This window comes from Homo sapiens, chromosome 1, assembly GCF_000001405.40.
Source record: "Homo sapiens chromosome 1, GRCh38.p14 Primary Assembly".
Lineage (NCBI taxonomy): Eukaryota > Metazoa > Chordata > Mammalia > Primates > Hominidae > Homo > Homo sapiens.
This window is the reverse complement of record NC_000001.11, coordinates 100,717,853-100,739,347: the sequence shown is the minus strand read 5'-3', so window position 1 is coordinate 100,739,347 and position 21,495 is coordinate 100,717,853. Positions and strand designations below refer to the sequence as shown.

Below are 21,495 nucleotides of genomic sequence, written 5' to 3'. Positions count from 1 at the left end.
CCATTAACATGTGCATGTTCATCTGCATTAAATCTTTTTATGTATATTTTTCTAAATTAAAAAATTGCAGATTCCAAGGACCAAAAACTAGACACTTCTATTCAATATCTTAGTCTGGCACCAAGAAATCTACATTTTTATCAAGTTCCTACAGTAATTTTAATAATAGTAGTCTAAGGGTCACATTTTGAGTATCCGTATTATTTCCATAGTTTGAATATTTTACTCTTATAACTTAGCACTTCAGAAAGAGCTACAATGTGACTAAAGGAGGCAGTTTATAATAAATAAACATACAACCATTCTAATTCCAGAAATTATCACTTTACTATACAAAAAAACCTAAACATTTACAAAAGAAAATAAAAAGAAGTTGCATTTTTAGGCCACATTGGGAAAGTTGCACAGGAGTCTGATGAACAAACTTCGTGAAACATCTCCGTACCATGCCAGTACTATACAGAGAAACCCAGTCAACCATTATACCATAGGTTGAGGTATTTAGTACCTGAAAGTCAACCCAGTGCTCCCTTTGCTTATTATTTGTCTATAAAAATATAAAACCCGGCATCTTTACAAAACCTGAAATTATTGTCAATAAACTATATAGGAATAAAATTTTGTGAAAGGGAATAAAATAGAAGAAAGATGACAAAGGTCAGCTGTCAGCAAATATTAATGTGAAATTTTCCTAACATGCATTAAATTATAATAGTCCAAGCAACACTAGTTATTTTAACAATCTAAATATAGAGTGTTGCTATTTTAAGCAATCTTGCTATGGCATAATTTTATTTTACATATGTACAAATTATGTTATTGTATATACAGATCAAGGAACTCCTCCAGTTCTCTCATCTTGATGGCAGTTACTGTTCTTCAGGCAGCAAGTTTTACTTTGACTTCTTGCTCACAGCAAGGGACATAGATGGGCATTTCTTTCCAAGTTCAATACATTCAGGGAAGTCTGCCTCTCAGCTCATTGTTTTTCTCAAGGAATGATGAGCAGTATCAAGGATTTGCACAGATAAATAGTGTCTCCAGTTGAACATATCAAGCATTAGCTACACTTTTGACTTCTGTGCTTCTACAAGACTATATGACCCCTTCATGTTGGCTTTTCTTGCAAAGTAAATTATCATTCCAATGGCAGGTATTATTAAGGAGGATGCAAAATAGAGCACGAGAAGCTCAGGAGAAAAATAGTCTTTGTTGTTTTCTCTTCCTGGAAAATAACAAAATGGATGCAATTAATGTCTAGTACAAAAAGATAGCATTTAATAACAACAGTTACATGTTTATTATAACAGTACAACTAGTTCTCCAAAGAGAAGGGAATCAAAGCAGTGATAAGGACCATCAGGACCCAAGATGCATGTTTGTCTGAATTATCCAAATAATCAGTTGGTGGTTGCTATGGTCATGATGGATCTAAAGATGATAGTTGTTGGCTTCCACAAACTTGGATTCAAATAGATTCAGGTTCAGTTGTAAAATGGAAGGGAGGGTACAAGTTTTTAACAAGAACAGGAATTGGAGAGAGGCAAGAACAGGAATTGGAGAGAGGCACTTGCTTGGGGAAATAAAAATATCTACTAAAGAACTGGGACTCTGATGACCATGAATTGAAATGACTAACCAGTTCTCTAAGAAAATCCTTATAATATTCAGAGTGTGACCATTATAGCTAAATGCCACAAATAAGATCGTAAGAGAAAAAAAAAATCTTGCCAATGGCTTTCTCAGAGATATACAGAAGTTTCTATGTTTTTTATGTCAGAAATAGGGCATATTAATACATTTTTCCTCTTCAGCATTTATATCATCTTTTGATAAACTAGAGTTCTTTGGACAGTGTTATGTTACAGCTTAAATGTTTCTTAGAGGCATTCTCTAATCTATATCTCCCTCATTCTAAATTAAGAACCTCAATATATTTTCAAAACCCACTCGTTTTCCCTTCAAAACCCTTATTACAGCTTTTAATTAAACATTTATCCATGTAATTACTTATTAAGTTTAGTTTCCTCCCCTAAGCTAAAAATTACATCAAGACATGTATATCTATTTTCTTTTTAGTCCATCACTGAACAGCCAGCACCTGACTCACTGCTTGGCCTAGTTGGCACCAAAAACAATATTTTTTAAACACTAATAACATTTTTTTCTCTCTACATTTTGCTTTTGCCACTTAGTTGTAAATGGAGTACAGTAGGTAACAGCATACAAAAACTTTAAAATTAGTATTCTTTCTAATCTGCTAAAAAATCATCTGACAGCTGCTATACTGCTTAACATCTTAACTTTATAAGAGCAGCTGAAGAAGATAGTGTGTCATTTACTGAAGACTCACTCCTGTTTATACTTTGCACAGCATCATGTGACCACACAAGTATTAAGTTTCACTAAGTGGCATATACATTGTCTCAGTCCTGGCAGAAACTAGAGATCTGACTTTGGTGATTACTACATTCTTTCCAGAGCTTTCTAATCACTGGAGGTCAACCAAGTAAAAAGAATCACGAGCATCAGATAATGTGAAGTCACTTTTTCAAATTATTGAAGAAAAACAGTTCACCCTAAGCATAATGATAATTGTCTCACTTTTTGACTTTCCCTTGCTAGAGCTGAGCTAGTCAAAGTATAAAGGTAATATTTGAATGGGATGTCCATCAACATGATTATGGATAGGCATCAATATTGATGACATGCTGAGAAACAGAAATACTATTTCTATTTCTTTTCTTTCTTTCTTTTCAATGTAATATACATTATCTTTTGCCTTTCAGTCTTCCCCACAGGCATTGGCAGAAAAATACAAATTTGCTGCCAAGGTAGTTGCCAGGGCAACCTTCAAATACAATTTTCTATTTGTCATATAAACACTGAATATCTTTTAAAAATCCTGATGATTTCTATTAATGGAATACGTTCAAGCTAAGACAAAATGAAACAAATAAAAAATCCAGCCAAATGCAAAAGAAATCTAGTTCAAAATACCCAGAAAAATATCCATTTTTTGGTCTTCATTAAAATTTAGCTAGTTTAAACTATATTCAGTTTGGGGGCATGAGTTTCTAGCTGAGCGCTTAATATTCTTTGATTGTTCATTTAAATAATGAGTAAAAAGTAGCAACTGTGTAAGTGGCTAATTTGATAAAGCAATTAGAAAATAAAGCAATGTGTGTGAGACAGAGTCAAAAAGTAGAGAAGCAGGTTTGATGTGTCTTTAAAAGGTCACAATTAATTAACAAAAGAATTACAGAAATGTTAGGGGACCAATTTCCCAGGGCTAGGCTTAATTAAAGGTGGCCCAGAGGCATTAAGGATTAAAGAAAATAGGGATGAGTAAATTCAACCTACTCATAACTGAGATTGCAATCTGTCCAGAATCATCCCCAACCTCATTGGAAGCACTGATTACATATACCCCTGAATCATTTTGAGTGACATGATACAAAGTAAATGTTCCCTTCTTTGAACACATAGTAACTTCATTGGCTAGATCAATTCTTTTCAGGATAATCACTGCAGGTGGATGACTAGAAGTTTCATATATAATCGTGATGTTTTCCCCTTCTTTAACATTTCTAGATGGATGTATAGCTATACAGCTATTCTCATGTTTTGAGGAGGTACTGTGAAGATGGAAAACATACATACGGTAAGGCTTGCCATTTTGAGAAATTTGGGTAGACGAACAAAAATTTTACCTGTTTCTGATGTAGATTCAAATTTTCTCTGCATTGACAAGTGATTGCTCACTCCAATAGCCAAGTGCCAGACCTCTTAAGACTTGGCATTTGTTTGCAGTCCTGTTTGCACTCCACCGCCAAGTATGGCCTCCATTACACAATAGCAGCTAATTGGTGTGCAAGGGGTGTGATACTGATCAGCCAAGGCTGATGTATTTTGTTTACACCAATAAGATCAGCAGATCCTACCTACTGTGCATTCACAAGAGGGCTTAGGAGATTAAGGGGCCCCTGAAGTTTCTCCAATGAGGATACTGCTCCTCTCTTTCTCTGTCCACCAGAATAGAGTAGGATGGCAAGTGGGTTGGAATTTTAATGAGGCTTTTCGATAGTCGAGAGATTTTTTTATGTTGTTCAGGATCAAGTTTACTATTCCCAATTATTATCCTGAAAAGAGTCAATCCAGAAAATTGCAGTTACTCCATGTTCAGAAAATAGTGTTTCCTTCTGGTAGAAAGGAAGAGGGTCTGGATAGAACCCTTCTTTTTCAATGTGCCAATCCTACTTCTTTAGTTTCCTTATAACCTCCCGGGAAAAGGTTTGAAAATATGGTTAAACATTTAGCAACTGCAAGACCTCAGAGACAAATGATAAATTGTAAACTGAAAAAAGCAAGCAGGAATTCCTCAGTCACGAATGATTAATGTCAACTTCCTGGCTAAACTTTATAGGATAAAGCAGCTGTGCTTGATTTTTCCAAGAATCCTTAAGAAATAAACCACAGCTCCATTTTGCCAACTCATTCATCAAATATTGGAAACTCTTAGTAATCCTTGGAACCTCTGAACTATTACCAAGAAAACAAAAACTCAAAACAAACTCACCTTGAACATCAAGTGTTAAACTTCTTAATTGTGAGCCAACTTTGTTTTTAGATTCACATTCATATACTCCCGCATCCTTCAACTGGGCCTTTCGGATGGTATAGGCGCCATCTATAGATTTTAGTACTGTGTCTCCTGTCTCCGCTTTTTTCTTCAGGATTATCCATGTTTCTGGAACATTTCCACATGTACAAGAGATGATGACAGTGTCTCCTTCTTTGACACTCTCAGAAGGAAAAGCTGTAAGTTTTATGTCTTTTGGAGTAACTGTAAAGAGAATTTAAAAGACATCCCTGATTGAGTGAAATATAAACCAACTCCATATTAATTTAGCGACATCAACAATAGCTTCCCTGGAGCTATTTGTGCTTAGCGTTTGCATTAAATGTTAAGAAGGGCAAGTAAAGAAGTCAAGCATTGCTGGATTGTTGGAAATGATCATGTTTTAACTAAGAGAGTACATGGCTTATGCTTCTTTCATGTTCCTTAATATAATTATTTACCCAGCCTAGCACAAAGAATAGGTGTTTGATATGGTTTGGCTCTGTGTCCCCATCCAGGTCTCAACTTGAATTGTAATCCTCACGTTTTGAGGGAGGAACCTGGTGAGAGGTGACTGGATCATGGGGGCTGTTTCCCCCATGCTGTTCTCATGATAGTTAATGAGTTTTTACGAGAACTTTTGGTTTTAAAGTGTGGCACTTCCTCACTCTCTCTTGCCTGCCGCCATGTTAAGGTGTGCCTTGCTTCCCTTTCTCCTCTGCCATGATTGCACATTTTGTGAGGTCTTCCCAGCCATGTGGAACTGTATTAAACCTCTTTTATAAATTACCAATCTCAAGTAGTATCTTTATAGCAGTGTGAAAATTGACAAATACAGTGTTTGATAAAGAGCTATAGAATTCAGATGTGAAATAGAAACTTAATTTTTTGTAATACTGTTTTGAAAAAATTTCCTTGAAGTACAAAGGCCTTTACAGGTTTCTGAGTTTTGAGTTGGATTCTTCAATCAAGAAGTTAAGCTGTACAGATGTGGCTTTTTCACTATCCTTAACAATACTACTGCCATTTATTAAGTTCCAAGCACTGAGCTAAGTACTTGACATATAACATCTCTATTAATGCAACAACCACTGGAGGCAGGTACCATATCACCAATTTTTAATCCCTATTAAGGTCTTCTATTTTGTAAGTTGATTTGAAATTCTTTCCCCATCCAAGGTCATGACAACCATCCAAAAGGTTTTTTTGTTTGTTTGTCTGTTTTTTAAGGATGTGTATTGTCTTTCCAATATTCTTCTTCTAAAATACAAATCTTATTGAGTTGAGATAACAAGAAAGTCACTAATATCTTAGTGGGAATAATGCCAAGGGGTAATAGACAAAATGACAACCCTGGCAAAGAAAAGAACCCTGATACCCAAAAGGGATGGGATAGAGGAAATCCACATTGATCACCTGATGATTTTGCTCATAACTCCGTATGGCTTCAACCTGCGAACTAATAATTGTCTTGTTCTCAATCTTGGGTCTCCATCCTAAAGAGAAGGGGCCTAGATCTGTTGACTTAATCTACTTTAGTGCTTCCATGCTCTCAGGCTGATGAACCAAAGGACGGAGTCATGGCTACTCATAATCTCAGAATTTGCAAAAGACTTAAGTGCCAGCTTAGGCTTCTAAGCAAATACTACTGGCCATCTTGTGAGATTGCCACTCAGAGTTCAATTCAGCCAGATATGGTAGCTTTAATCCTACATAATCCCAAATGCAGATATTCCTCTTCCTATTCTTATTTCAATACCATAACCATTGCCTCATAAGTGTAACTGGAACTTCTGACACAGGTCCTGAAGGCTTGCATTTCACTTGAGTTTAAAAGAATCTCAGGATAAGAAACTTGTAACAATTCATGAGAAAAGACAATTTCAGGAGATTTCTCCATACATTGGAAACATCATAAACTCTTCAAAACCCTCATCACACTTTTGTAGTAAAAATTTTGTTTTCAAAGACTTTACTCATAATCAGTAACATAACCAAAAACATTACTAGCAAGGATAACTCATTACTCACACTCTGCTCACCTTGGATAATTAATTCCACTTCCTTTCTGCTTCTTCCAGCCTGGTTAATTCCTTCACATAAATAAACCCCAGAATCTTCCATTTTTGTAGAAATTAAGGTGAGAGTTGCATTCTCAGAAAGAGGCTGTAGCTCCCCGTTAGGGAGCTGCCTGCTCCACAGGATTTTCGGAGCAGGAAAGCCCTGGCTCAAGCATGTCATATTCACAGAACTGCCTTCCTCCAGGATGGAGGAAGGGCTGACCAAGACGGTTGTATCTCTGGGGGCAACTGAAAAGGCAGAGACGCTTGTTAGCTTGACCTATTATGCCCTGAGTTCCAAAGAGTTTTAATAATGTTGCAAAACTGGGCTATGGATTCAGCAGACTCAAAGAGTTTGTAAACCTTGATAATTCACCACAAGAGGTTTTGGTCCTCATTTACTTTAGCTGATACCAAATGATAGAGTAGAACATGGACACGTCATGGTGTTTTCTAATGGAAGTAAGTTCAGTATACACTTCCTTGCAACCAAAGAATGACGAGGGTCAATGATAGTGTGTACTGCCATTTATGGTAGAGTCAACATGACTGTGAATTATTTGAATCTCCTTCTGTGAAAAGATGTGGTCTATTTTTCCACCCCTTGAATCTCTAGGCTGGCCTCATGACTCACTTTGACCAATTGAATGTGGAAGAAGAAGTAACACTGTAGGACTTCCAAACCCAGGCCTTGAAGAGGCTGCTTTCATTTACACCTTCTTGAAACACTGAGCTCTGGAGAGTAAATCTAGGCTACTGTTCCTCAGGGTGACACCACATAAAGAAAGAGAGGCCAAGTCATCCAAGATATGGCTCCAGACATGTGGGTGAAGTCATCTGAGACCAGCCAGCCCTGCTAACCTTACTGAAAATGCACGAGTGAGCTCAGCTAATACCATATTGAACAGAATAACTGCCTAGCTGGTCCCTTCCTAAATTGCCTACTCAAAGCATCATAAGCCAGTAAATAGTTACTATTTTAAGTTTAGGGAGGGTGATTTGTTACAATCATCATTATTTTGAAATTTCTTTTCAGTAACGTTTTTTCTCCACAGAGGTTTTAACGATTAACCTTATGTTAACTATTGCCTGGCAAACACGATAAAGAGACAGGTATTAAACTGTAGATACCTCACATATGTACTTACCATTGACATAAAGTGTTTGCGTACTCTGCCTTTGTTTGGGTTCGAATTCCATGTCATCAATATGTAACTTAGCCTGACAAACAAGAGCTTTTCCAGTATCTTCAATGGTAGGGATGAAGGTCATTTCCAAACTTTTGTTCTCTAGAGATTTCATATCCGTATCCTCCAAAAACTCTATATTCTCCAGAATAGTCTCCCCCTTAAGTAATTCAATCTCCAGCCGGTCAAGGGGGTACACGCTAGGAACCTTGCAGCTTACAGTGACAGAGCTCCCATTCACGAGGCCACCACTCATCTCGATTTCTGGATCTCTAGGGAATGCTGCAAATCGCAAGCAAAAACGATTTTTATTCTTGATATTCAAGGAAAAATTGAGCTAAGCTTTATTAAATGTAAAGGCCTAAAAATGACAGCTTTAAGTCACCTGGGATAGAATGACTGTCAATATATAAGTAATGACAGTATTTATAAATGACATATTTATGATATTATATATGAATAATGTTAGAAACAAAAACTACTTAGTATATCCAGTCATTGAGTAATAAATTTTCACTTATTTCTTTTCTTCTTAATATGCAATCTTGCTGTGTGCCATGGCTTGACCTTTTCTAAGTATACATCAGTTTCCACCATCTTATTTAGTAAGTATATATTTCACATTTTAAAATTTGCCATGTTATGTTGAATACTTATTGTAAACTAGTCCCCTAATATTCATTATCTCAGTCTTCAAAGCAGCTGTGTAAAATGAGTATTACTTATTTTACAGCCAGGAATACTGAAACATATAGAGGCTAAGAGACTTTCTTCACACATTATACCTAGTAAGTCACTGAGATGGGCTGCAAATCCATATTTCTCTGACCTCAGAGCCCAGCTTTGGTTTTACAGAGCTGTGCAGTCTCTCAGTATCAAATAAGACAAACAAGGAAGTTCTCAACTTAGTTTAAATTTTAATGACCAAATTTAGGCAGCAAGTTTTAAATATTTCTCAGATAATACTTGTAATCAAGAACTGCCTTAACTGTATTCTTTATAATACAGTACAAATCAGTAAAATGAGACTAAGATAGCTATCAAGGGCAAGAATAATGCTTAAACATTTTTTTCCTTAACCAAAATGTTGTTAAAGTGATACATGCTCAAATATTTCTATGTTGCAATAAGACCCCACTGCTGGTTCTCATTTCTGCTGGGAATGTGCCTATCTCAGCAGATCATGGACTCTGGGTAATATGATAATGCAAATAAAATTTATCTTTCTTTGGAGAGACCCAAATCCCTTTACAGGCATACTCTAACTCATTCTGAACAAAATCCTGAAGGGTAACACAAGTTTGGGCAGGGTTTCTGGTAGAAAATCTCTACGATATGTTCTCTTGAGTTCTACTGAATAAAACAAGGCAGAGTGACCCCCTCAAAAAAAAATAACTTTATGGTCACTTTGCATATTTTGTTCTTCATTCAATATGGACTGAGGAACTCCAGCAATGTCAAGTTCATAGAGATTTGAGGTTGCAAAGAATGTTTATTAAGACAAAAGAAGAGTGAGAGAAAGTGTAGTATATGTAGGTGGCATAAATCAACATTAAGATCTAGCGCTGCTTCCTGATTCTGCTTTTCACCTGAGCCACTGACACTGACCATCCCCATCCCCAATCTAACTTCTTATCTTTAATTTTGGCTTCCTTCTGCTTCCTATTCCCTTATTTTTTTCCCATCCTGCAGACAGCTCATCAAATGTGCCTTTAAAACAGTGCCTTAAAACAGTTTAAAACTACTCATTCCCAACTGGAGTAGCTGAACAGTAGTCACCTCCACCCAGTCCTCTGAATGGGCACTGACCCCAATGCACTCACCTCCAGCATGGAGTGTGTTCAAGTGCATGATGAGAGAGTATTGACAAGGCATAAACCAAGGATTGTGGGTGCTGTGTACATATGTAATATATATTTAAGATTTAAGCTAATTATATTGCATCAAACCATTCTGATTCAGATTTAGGAACAAAATTCACAAGGCTAAATTCCTTTTCTAAACATAAGGATTTCATTGCACTTCACAGACTTGCATTCTTTTTCTTCCAATAGAACTGAAAAAAAAAAACAGTAAACAATTCTGAAAACCACTTACAGTAGAGCTCCACCTGGATTCCCTTTTCCAGTTTCTTATGTCCACAAGTCACTGTGCACAGATAAGAGTGTTCGTTCTCAAAACTCACAGGGCTCAGGGTCAGCGTGGAATTGGTCCCCTCACTCCTCACCTTCCCGCTCAGAGGGCTGTCTATCTGGGTTCTCCAGGAGAAAGATGGGGATTCACAGCCCATGACACTACATGTCAACATGACTGAGTCTCCAATCTGAGCAGCAATCCGGGGTCCAGGGGAGATCTCAACAGTAAATGGTTTCTCTGGGACACAGGTGGAAAACAAGATGAAAAGAACATAAGATTCTTTTCTTTTTTCATCACATTCTGACATATGATCTTTATTTTTCCTGATCTCCTTTCAGCTAATATCCATGCCAAGAAGAAATTACTCTTTTCCACCTTGGGACCATCAGAAATGAGCCCACATCTTTTAAGAATGAAACCACGATAGTTTGTTGATTCATTCATTTAACAAATTGAATAGATAAAAATTTGTCAAGAGAGGTTGCTATCTCTTCACAGCAATAATAGAGTATCTGCTCAAATGTAGTTTATCAAATCACTGTAAGAGTGGACAATCACTCAAATAATTTAAGTGGTTCTTGTGTGTCAAGCACTATCTAAATTACTATATATATATATATATATATATTCTCATTTAATCCTCACAACAATTTTGTACACTAGTACTATTCTTTCTTCTTTGCCTTCTCTTTCTGCTTCTACTCTTTCTCTTCCTCCTTTTCCCCCTCCTTTTTCTTCTTGAGGAAATTTAGGCTCAGAAATGCTAAATAACTTTGCCCAGTTTGCAAGTAGCAAAATTAGGACTTGATGCCAGGTGGGTCTGATTCAAGATCCCAGCTTTTCAGTTGCTACAACAACTAAATCAAGTCATCCTCATATGGTGATAAAATGGTCTAAAAGAGGTACTGGAAAAAGCTACAAAAAATGTCTTCTAATTAGATATAATGCCCACAGTGGACAAGCATTTAGAGCTTCTGTTCCAATAATACAGTTATACCACTGAAAGTCACATAGCATCATCCTGAAATCAAAGTCAAAATCTAAGCATTAAAATGATACATAAGTCACCTCCAAAATTTGCCTGATGCAATATAAAAATACTTTACAATTAATTCAGGGTCTGAAAGCCGAGATGTGAGGGCAAACTCCTAAGACTCAAATATCCAGGAATGCTCTTTGGCCATCAGCGCTATCCCGGCTGGGTGCATGGGCTTCTTTTGGATGACTGCTATTTAGGGAGAAAGGGAACACCACATCTTGGCTCTGTTTCCCTGAAGAAACTGGGAGTGTTTGGGCAACTTTTAAAGCAACAGATAAGACCCCCCCATAAAAATCACTGAAATCTTACTTGTAAATTACAGGCTTAAGGTAAAAGAAAGAAATCTCAATATATAAATAATCCAAACATATTATATTTTGCATGGTTCTCATCTATGCCATAAGTTATTTTTCTCAATAGGTTTGTCTAATTATGACATCTTAGTATTTTCTGAAGAAGATTCTCCTCAATAAACTGATATGCTATTAGATTTTGAAAGAGAGCTCATTCACAAAAACAACCAGAGCTTCTGAATTTTTTATATGCTAGTGTGAGAATGAGGAACTTTAAAAAACAGATCGACTGCCTGTCTGTGAACATTTCTCAAGTCATTCTTTACAGTGGCCACATGTATTGCCATGTGAACTTGGAACCATTGGAGGAGTAACTCTTTTAGGTAGCTGAAGGTTTCTCTGAAAGTACTTTCAGTACTTTAGGCCAGTAGTATCCCATGTGATGCAAAGTGCAAAACAACTCTCCCCAGCCCCAAAATACATGTCCTTTGTACATTTAAATAGGATACAGTTTATTATGGAGTGACATTATTCCAGGGTGAATGATTAGCTTTACACACTTTTATTAGTATAATATCTTTCCTGGTCACTTGAGAATGCTAACCTAACATCCAACCGAGATAATCCACTTAGGGTGAGTTTGATTTTTATTTTAATCATCCAAGTTTAAATACCATGTTTTCACATTTTAAAAATTTGTGTTGAGCTGGGTGTAGTGGCACGTGCCTATAATCCCAGCTACTCAGGCAGCTAGGGTGGGAGGATCACTTGAGCCTAGGAGTTTGACTTCAGTGTGGGCAACATAGCAAGATCTCATTTCCTAAAACAAACAAAAGACTATGCTGCCCATGTTTATAATCTATTCATTAATTCAGCAAATATTTACTGAACATTTATTATGTGTTAGGTACTGTGCTAAGAATCCAAACATTCACACACACACACACACACACACACACACACACACAGAATTCCTGATTTTAAGGAGTTTACAGATTTTTTAAAAATTAAATAGAAACAGGAGGTCTCACTATATTGCCGAGGCTGGTCTTGTACTCCTGGCCTCAAGCAATCCTTCCACCTAAGCCTCCCAAAGTGCTGGGATTATAGGCTTGAGCCATTGTGCCCGGAGCAGGAATTTACAGTTTAGTGGAAAGACACATTTAAAAAGATATATTATTTTGGCTCTTACTAAGGAATATTTGCGTTACCTATTTATATGCCTGTCCTTCCTTCCTAGTTTGTATGCTCCCCTAGGGCAGTTGTCATATCTTTTTCATATCTGTACCCCCAGTACCAAGTACAATTCTTGGATTCTTGGACAAGGGCTCTTAATATTTGTTGAACTGAACAGAATAGCATACATGACTATAAGGAGTGTTGAGTGTACACGAAAGAAAGAATATGTAGTTTGGTCTGACACAGTCTGGAACTGGGAGGCTGACATGAGCTTCATATTGGAGAATGGCTAAGATTTTGCCAGATGAAGGAAGGAGAAAGGCCATTTCAGGCAGAAGGAACAGCGTAAGCAGAGGCACTGAGTCATCAACAGATCTGCAAAGGTAGTTTCTGACCAGATCATAAAGAGTTCTGTGTGACAGTTTTAAGAAATGTGATGGAAGTTATAGAAAATGAGCACCTTTTTGTTTAAGGTAATAAACCCTGGGAGCAGTGCATAAGATTGATTATATTAGGGACAGAATCTTAGCAGGGAGACTATTTAAAGATAATTAGCCATAAAATATGTGAAATATTATTCAGCCTTAAAAAACAAAAGAGGAAATTCTGTCATTTGCAACAAAAGGGATGAACCCAGAGGACACTATGCTAAGTGAAACAAGCCAGGCACAGAGAAGCCAGTACCTCCTGATCTCACTTATATGTGGGATCTACTTCTAAAGTCATAGAAGTAGAGAGTAGAATGGTGGTTACCAGAGGCTGGGGCGAGGAGTGGAAGGGAACAAGGAGATGTTGGTCAATGGATACAAAGGTTCAGTTAGACAGGAGAGTAAGTTGTTTAGATCTATTGTACATCATGATGACTATAGTTAATGATAATATATTGTATATTTAAAAATAGCTAAGAAAGTGAATTTCAAATGTATCACCACAAAAGAGCAAGTGAGGCAATGGATTTGTTGACTTGACTTAATCATTCTACATTGTATACCTATACCAAACATCACATTGTAATCTATAAATGTATACAATCATGATTTATCAATTAAAAATATTTTAAAAAAGAAATAATAAAGACAATTAGCTATAAAATTAAAAAGGCAAAGGGGTTTTCATTAAAATGAACCTGCATCAAAATCATAGTAAATGCAACTAAAGAGCTATTTAGCCCCAGGAAAAGTATGAACTATGCTGAGCCTGGGTTTTTAATAGTGTTGTGGTAAAGATTAATGAGATAAAATATATAAAGCAGAATACAGAATTCCTGGGAAATATTAGGTGTACAATCAATAGGTGGTGTCATTATTAATCTCTGGGAGATTCCACTCTCTCATCTGTAAAATGAATACAAAATACTTACTTTTTAGTTATTTCTTGAGGATGGCATATGGAAAGTGCCAGAAACCTATCTGGTGTTTAGCGAATGCTGTTATGTAAGAATATCTTGCAGGAGCCCAAGTGAGAGATGATAAACTAAGGCAATGGCAAGTGGGGTGAAGAAGAGGTCATATTCCAGGGAGCATTTTGAGGTAGAACTGACAGGATTTAACAGCATGGAATTGGAACATGAATTTGGGAGTAATCAACATATTGTAGTCCAATTCCTGGGAATCTAGTGTGAGAACAGAAGAGGACCCAGGGGTGTAAACTTGAAAATACCAATATCCAAGGGGAAGGAGGAAGAGAGAAAGTGAGGGAATGAAGCAGAGAAAAAGTGATATGAGATGAAAAAGAATCAGAAAAGCAGAGCCATGGAAACTCTGGGAGGGAAGACTTCCACAGAGTACTAGTAAGATAAACATATATTTGTGCTAAAGGATATGGCAATCAGATAGGTCATCAGTGAAACTAAGGGAAGCAATTTCAGCATTGAAGCTGTGTTGACTATTGCTCAAATCCCACTGACAGCACCTTTATCATTCCTTTTTCACATTCTACTCACCTTGAACAATTAATTCCACCTCTTTTCTGTTTTTCCCAATCAAATTAACTCCTTCACACACATAAATTCCAGAATCTTCCATCCTCATAGCAATTAAGGTGAGAGTTGCATTTCCAGAAAGGTGCTGTAGATTCCCATTATCTAATTTCTTACTCCAGAAAATCTCTGGAGCTGGTAGACCCTCGCTGGAACAGGTCATGGTCACAGAGCCACCTTCTTGCAGCTTTGTGGATGGATTCACAGAAATAACTGTATTCTTGGGTGATACTGAAAGGGCAAAAAATAATATTAGCAATTGCTAAGCATCATCCCAGTGCAACAGAGGTAATGTATTTCTCTTAGTATTTATGTGCTTCCACCAATTTGATGAAATTACTCTGCCAAATTAGTATAAAGAACTGCTGAATCATTCAAAATAGTCTATCCAGTTTCTGACTAAACTGATCAAGTTTAGTTGATGTTTCATATTTTTCAGATGGTTGTAGATACTCAGAAATTAAGAAAAACCATGTGGCTTAACCTCCCACTTAAGGGTAAGAGTCCCATTTAAGCATTCTTGCCAAGTGCCCATTCAAGTCAGCTTCAACATTTACTGAGAGAATCAACCCACTGCTTTCCAAAAGAGTCAATTTGATTTTTGGACAGCTCTACATATTAGCACATTTCTCCCTATTGAGCTGAAATCTTCTCTCTATACTATTTTAAACATATTGGCCATAATTCAGCCCTGTGCTGTTACAGAATAAGGTAAATCACTCTTTCATATAACTGTCTTTCAAATGCTTAATTAGATGTCTTTTCCAGCCAGGTTTTGTTTTCTCTTCAGAAAAATATCCTCTATCTTGACTATTCTTCTCAAAATATTGTTAAAAGCCTTCCCAGCTCATTCTCTTTCAGCTAAACATGCCGTAGTTGGCAATACTCCCTTTAAATGTGGTACCCAGTGCAGAACATAGCATTTTAGTCCAGAACAGAGCACAGTGAGGCCACTCCTACACAACGCTGGGACTACAAGACTCCCACAAATCCCCTGGCAGTATCAGGGAGATTGGAGGCAATCAAACCCCGTCATTTTTCCCCTGTCCAGTGCACCTATGTATGTATGTGCATATGCATACACACACACACATACACACACAGAATAAGTGATCACCTTGTCAAGTTTCTGTACCTGTGCAACTAATAGTTCAAGGCATACTATAAGAGTTTACAAAACAATATTAAAATGTTTTATCATTTGAGCCTATTTCCCACTACCCAATCAGGTGGTATTACTATTCCCCTTTTATACACTGGGAAATAGAGAAATTAAGTAACCCAAACTCACACAGTTAATAGAGCCAGAAATTAAGCTCAAGCCTTCTCAGTCCAAATCCAGTGTTCTTTTCACTGAATTATACTATTGACAAACATTATGTTGTGAATGAATACAAATGGAATACAAACTATATACAAGTTTTTTTTTTTTTTACTTTTCTGCTAAGTTTATTGCTATACACAACCAAGGTGGGATTCCCACAAAGACTGGAACACATCGCACAAGTACTTACTGTAGACTTGCAATTCTTTTACAGCCTGCCTTACTGTGGGCACAGAATCCATTTCATCAATGTGTAATTTAGCTCGGCAAACAAGAACTTTTCCAATATCCTCAATGACAGGAGTAAAGGTTACTTCCAAACTCTTGGTTTCCAGGGACTTCCTGTCTGCATCCTCCAGAAATTCCTGACTCTTCATGAGATGATCTCCTTTCAGTAAGTCTATCTCCAGCCTGTCAAATGGGTATACATCAGCAACTGAACACTTGACTGTGATCGGCTTCCCAGCCTCCAGAGGGCCACTCAAATGAATCTCTGGATCCTTAGGAAAAGCTGAAAAGGCCAAACAAATACATGGATGGGCTTTTTGCTAATGTGATATAAGGTCTCTTACCACTTTAACACAATACAAATCAAGTCTAGCGTTTTTGTTAATACAGTCTTAATACGACAGAACTGTTTGAATAGCCTTTCATGATTTGGGGTGAGTTCAAGGCACAAGAATTGGAAGCAAACATTTTTTACAACATTATTCAATTCTGATCCTGTATATATTAAGAGTTGCATGTTATTACAGTAAAAGAAAGAAGAAAAAATAATGTTTATATTGAACCTTACATGTGGCTGTCACTGTGCTATAGATTTAACATGAATGATTTCATTTTATCCTCACAATAACTCTAGGAGATAGAGATCACATTTCACAGAAAAGAAGACCTGGACTTAGTACATTTACATAACTTGTCTAAGGTCACACACCTAGTAAATGGTAAAGCTGGGATTTAAACTCAGGATTTCCATTATTGTGTTTTGCTACTACAGATTTACATTATGTTACATCACATTTTCTTATTATAGTCAGGGCAGATATATTTCCATTTTACAGATAATGACTGTAAGCCTTGGAATGTCATTGCAAAGAATAGTTATTGTCAAGATATTCTAAGAAATGAGAAGACCAACTTTAAGTAATTAGCTTCTGAAAATGGTGCCTCTGACAGGAATTCATCCACCAGAAAGATACATTTGTGCAATCTTTATGTTCTGGAACACATATTTGCCTCCTGAAATGCCTAACTCACTATCCCAACAAGTGTTCCATTGAAGCTTCTAGTACAAGGAAATACACTACTTCACGTGGCCATTGCCTCCTTTGCAAGAGTTACCTTTTTCATTATGCATTATGATGAAGTAACATATTGGTGGATTCAAAACTGTGTAGCAAAAAGAATACAAAGGTCTCAACTCTAACCACTATTACAATCAAATGCGGAAAGGAGACAGAACTGTTATACATAATGAGAAACAGACACTCTTGGAGAAAAACCTCAGGCAAGATAATTAAAACCAGAAGCGTCTTCATTTCTCTTTCTTAAATCTTCAACTATTTGGTACTAGTGGGCAAAAGACAAAGGAGCTGGAAATTCTTTCCTATGTGAAGAAACATGGTATTTTTCATTTTTCCAGCAATAATTTCTGTCCCTCATATTCTGTAAGAAATGTTCCTCTAATCCACACAGTTCGATGTCAGGTAACATAAGAACTTGCTACTTTTCCCTGTATTTACATAAGGGAAGCTTTCAAGGAGCTCGGGAGGCTGCACAGACATAAACTATGCACATACAACCAGCATAATTGAAAGCAGCCGGCCAAGCACAGTTTCTTGGGAAGCTTGAGCAACACATGCGGTTTGTTGCAGAATCAATTAAGGTTACTGGGAAAAGTTGAGCTCCGGTACAATAAAACGAAACCAAAGTAATTATAATCAAATGAGGTCTTCATGAAGACATGACCGTAAATGGGTTCAGTTTTTTAGAAAGAGAGGCCATCAGTAACAAAAGGCAAATGATTTATGTCTGGTTAGTTTTTTACTCCTCTTGCTAACTTTGTTTGCTGAATGGAGAATGGAGTGGGATGCATTTTGTCAGGCTGGTAAACTAGGGACATCCACTCACTTTCATGAGGCAAATCTAGTTCATTATATAAATATCTTTGAAGTTGAGCGGTTGAGCACCAAGGCTTCATGGCACCAAAAAAACCAAAAAAAAATCCTAAATGTGTCAACACCAAAGTCAAATGATTGAAATGTTTCCAGATATTAACAATTATGTCTAAGAAGAACACTTTTATACTAATACATATTACTAATTATAGATCTACTTAATGTTTAAACTAATTTTAAGCATCAAATTGCATAAGAATAAATGAATAGAAAATCCCTGAAGGATGGAATTCATAAATCAATCAGACACATAAGCAAGTAAACATGTAAGGATGTAATCAAATGGAAATATTTTTTAATAAAACAAAAAGAAACTTAGAAATGATCATTTTACAGCTAAGGAAACCAGAGCCCAGAGAGGTTGAGTCTTATACATGGTCACTGTGTTTGTGGCAGAGGTAGAAATAGAAGCCAAGATTTGGATTCCTGCTCTCTCTCATGTTGGCCTTAGCTGTCCCTAGCTTTCCTGATGTTGTATGTTCTTTAGCCAAGAATCTGTACATGAATATCCATTTTAAAACTTTTTTTAAAATATCATTTTTAAAAAGTGATTTTAAAGTAAAATTGAGAGAAAAACAAAGATTTTCTAAAGCACTCACAGTAGATCTCCACCTGGATTCCTTTTTCCAATTTCCTAGATTCACAAGTTGCTGTGCACAGGTAAGAGTGTTCGTTCCCAAAACTAACAGGATTCATTGTCAGCGTAGATGTGGTCCCCTCATTCGTCACCTTCCCATTCAGTGGACTATCTATCTGGGTTCTCCAAGAGAAAAATGGGGACTCACAGCCTGTGGTGCTGCAAGTCAATGAGACGGAGTCACCAATCTGAGCAAGATATCTAGATTCTGGGGTGGTCTCGATTTTAAAAGCTTGAGCTGCAAAAGCAAAAAAAGACAGAAGCAAATTTACCACTAGTTTGTCTAGTATTCTCCTCCTTCTTCTCTGTATAATGTCTAAAATATGATCAGACTGATCTCTTTCCTAAGCTGCTTCAAACTAACTGCAAGGTAGCCAAAAAGCACCGAAGTCACTGCCAAAAAAGTTTATGGAATCATCTTCAGTAGAGAGAATTCTCAGTTCCAACCTTGATGCCCATTTATCAAAGCTGTTTTGTTATTTGCTAAGTTTGACCTCATTGTCAAGTATAGGAAACTAAAGAGACAGACCGACTAGAGACAGAATCCAAATTACTCAATTGCCTTTGGAAAAAAAGATACCAAAAACATCAATTTTCAGCTCTAACTATGACAGTACAATGGTATATAGCAAAACTCAATTGCATATTAAAAGTTAGACTAAATTAACTTTTCCTACTGTTTAAAATCCTAGTGTCTTTACTTCACTACTATCGCAAAACTGACTGAAGCCAAAACCAGGGCTAAAATTGAATGCTAACATTTGAAACAGATGAAGGGAAATAACTTACAAGCTGCAAACATTATCCAAAGTATATTTGAGGCTCCAAGGATCACGACCATCTTCCCAGGCATTTTAAGTTGCTGTCGTGATGAGAAAATAGTGGTTCCAAAACCCTTATTTGTGTCCCACCTGTGTGTGCCTGGGAGGGTATTCAGCTCCTGAAGCCAGTGAGGCCCGATGCAGATACCGCGGAGTGAAATAGAAAGTCTGTGCTTTATAAAGGGTCTTGTTGCAGAGGCGGAGGGAAATCCCTTCAAGGGGAAACCCAGGGCAGAGCCAGGGAAAAAAGTTTAACAGACACCCAGCCAAGTTCCACTATTAACCCCTTCAGTTGCTCTCACTGCTGAAGCTCCTCTCTCTGTCCTGGCAAAAGAAGACACTTCCAAGACTATAAAATACAGGCTTTTCCTCATCTTCGACTCCAAAAGGCTATCTTTACTGGAAAGATAAAGGACAATGCTGATTGCAGAATGAAGCTTTCTGAATCCAATGTGGGTTAAGGGGGTGGGGAGAGAAAAAATGGAGACAGAGTAGTAAATTCTACTCTGGTTTTTGAACTGGATAAATAACGACTATGCCATGTGAATTGATTTTCTCCATCAAGGAAATATGTTTGCAATTCTAAAAGAGATTAATTTTTTTCTCTTACAAGAGAAAGGAAAAAGTTATTTCTTTTGATGAGTCATTTTTTAAAAAAGGGACACCATAACTTCTTAGTTTTATATTTATTCATAAAAATAGTTCTTTTAGCAACAAACATCAACTTTTTGAAACTATTTTCTTGAGTAGAAAGTAAAGGACTGTAACTGAAATTGCTGCCAAAACAAGGGAAACAATTTTTTTTTGTTTTAGAAAAGTTACCAATAATTTGGTTAAATTGCTGGATAATTGGAATTTTTTTGCATACTTAAATGCAAGTGTATGGAATCCATCTGAAGTGGCAAATCTCTTGGGCTGTGAGATTTAACCGCAAACCCAGTTAAAAAATTAAAAATAATAGGTTTTTATTATAGGCAAGGGGACAATAACCAACTCTATGTTCCTTTTCCCCCCAGTGAAGTGCCTTTTTAAAAAAATCCCAATTAACTAACTGGCTTAGCCTTGCACACACATAGCCCAAGGCCTTGCAAAATGCTTGCCCATCAAAAAGAAACCGGAATAGCCACTTCCTTTTATTAAACACGTGCAGGTCTATCTCCCCCATTGGATCATCAGTTCCTCTCATGGTCAGGACCAGTTCTTGTTCATTGTTGTATCTACTTCTACAATATCTAATGCATGATTTTCCACTTAGTGGATACAAAAAATGCAATAATAAACGTTATACATTTGGAGAAGAAAATTCTAAATACTAGCAATAATATGTAAATACGGCATGAAAAAACTGTTAAATTCTACAAGAAAATTCTAAAGCTCAGAGACTCAATGGGATGTGTACAATAAACTTGTACTATATAACATTTGTACTCTGTAACAAAGGCCATAGCTGAGGTCTGGAATCTATAACTGTCCCTACCTGGTTGGAGAGGCTTCTGGATCTCCTCTTGGATACTGATGTGGCTCCCACTAAAAGACAAGGAGGGAAAAATAAGTTGGAGATGCTGTTCTAGGGTGTGGGGATATATAGGTATGACTTCACCTACCAAATATCTAGGGATCAGAAAAATTGATTCAGGAAATACTAGCTTATAAACAAGTAACCCAGAGGTCCTTTACAGTGTTTGTGTCATCATCATGTAAATTCACTACTTAACTTCAGAATAGATCAAAAGGGTATTATGGAGTTTTAATATGTTCCTTTGAGGCTCAAAGACAATGGCCAATAGGATCCTTGGGATCATTATGACCAAGCTATGTTGTTCTGAGTTTGGATATGATTCGAAGCTTGCAACATTGGAGAAATGCCTAATCTATTCATTTAACTCATAGTGGTCTTGGCAAATGTTTGATCAAGTCCCTCACTATATCTTTGAGTTGGATGACATCTGAAGTCCTACCTGCTCCTCCCAGGTTGAGAGGATTGCACCCTCCTCGGTGGCCTCACTACAACAAGTGCATATTGATGGAGCATTTATCATT

General features: G+C 36.9%; 1 protein-coding gene across 3 annotated transcripts; it reads right to left on the bottom strand.

Annotated features, from left to right (window-relative positions):
• VCAM1 (vascular cell adhesion molecule 1) lies at positions 303 to 19,606 on the bottom strand. 3 transcript variants are annotated; one of them, NM_001078.4, is made up of 9 exons: positions 19,424 to 19,606; positions 18,597 to 18,872; positions 16,008 to 16,328; positions 14,458 to 14,724; positions 9,966 to 10,241; positions 7,830 to 8,150; positions 6,664 to 6,930; positions 4,580 to 4,846; positions 303 to 1,225 (listed from the first exon to the last, which is right to left on the bottom strand). In NM_001078.4, exons 1-9 carry the CDS (start codon positions 19,485 to 19,487, stop codon positions 1,065 to 1,067), a joined length of 2,220 nt encoding a protein of 739 aa, NP_001069.1. In that variant the 5' UTR covers positions 19,488 to 19,606; the 3' UTR covers positions 303 to 1,064. The 3 variants fall into 3 exon arrangements, with proteins under 3 accessions (NP_001069.1, NP_001186763.1, NP_542413.1); NM_001199834.2 differs by having other exon boundaries at positions 18,783 to 18,872; NM_080682.3 differs by lacking the exon at positions 9,966 to 10,241.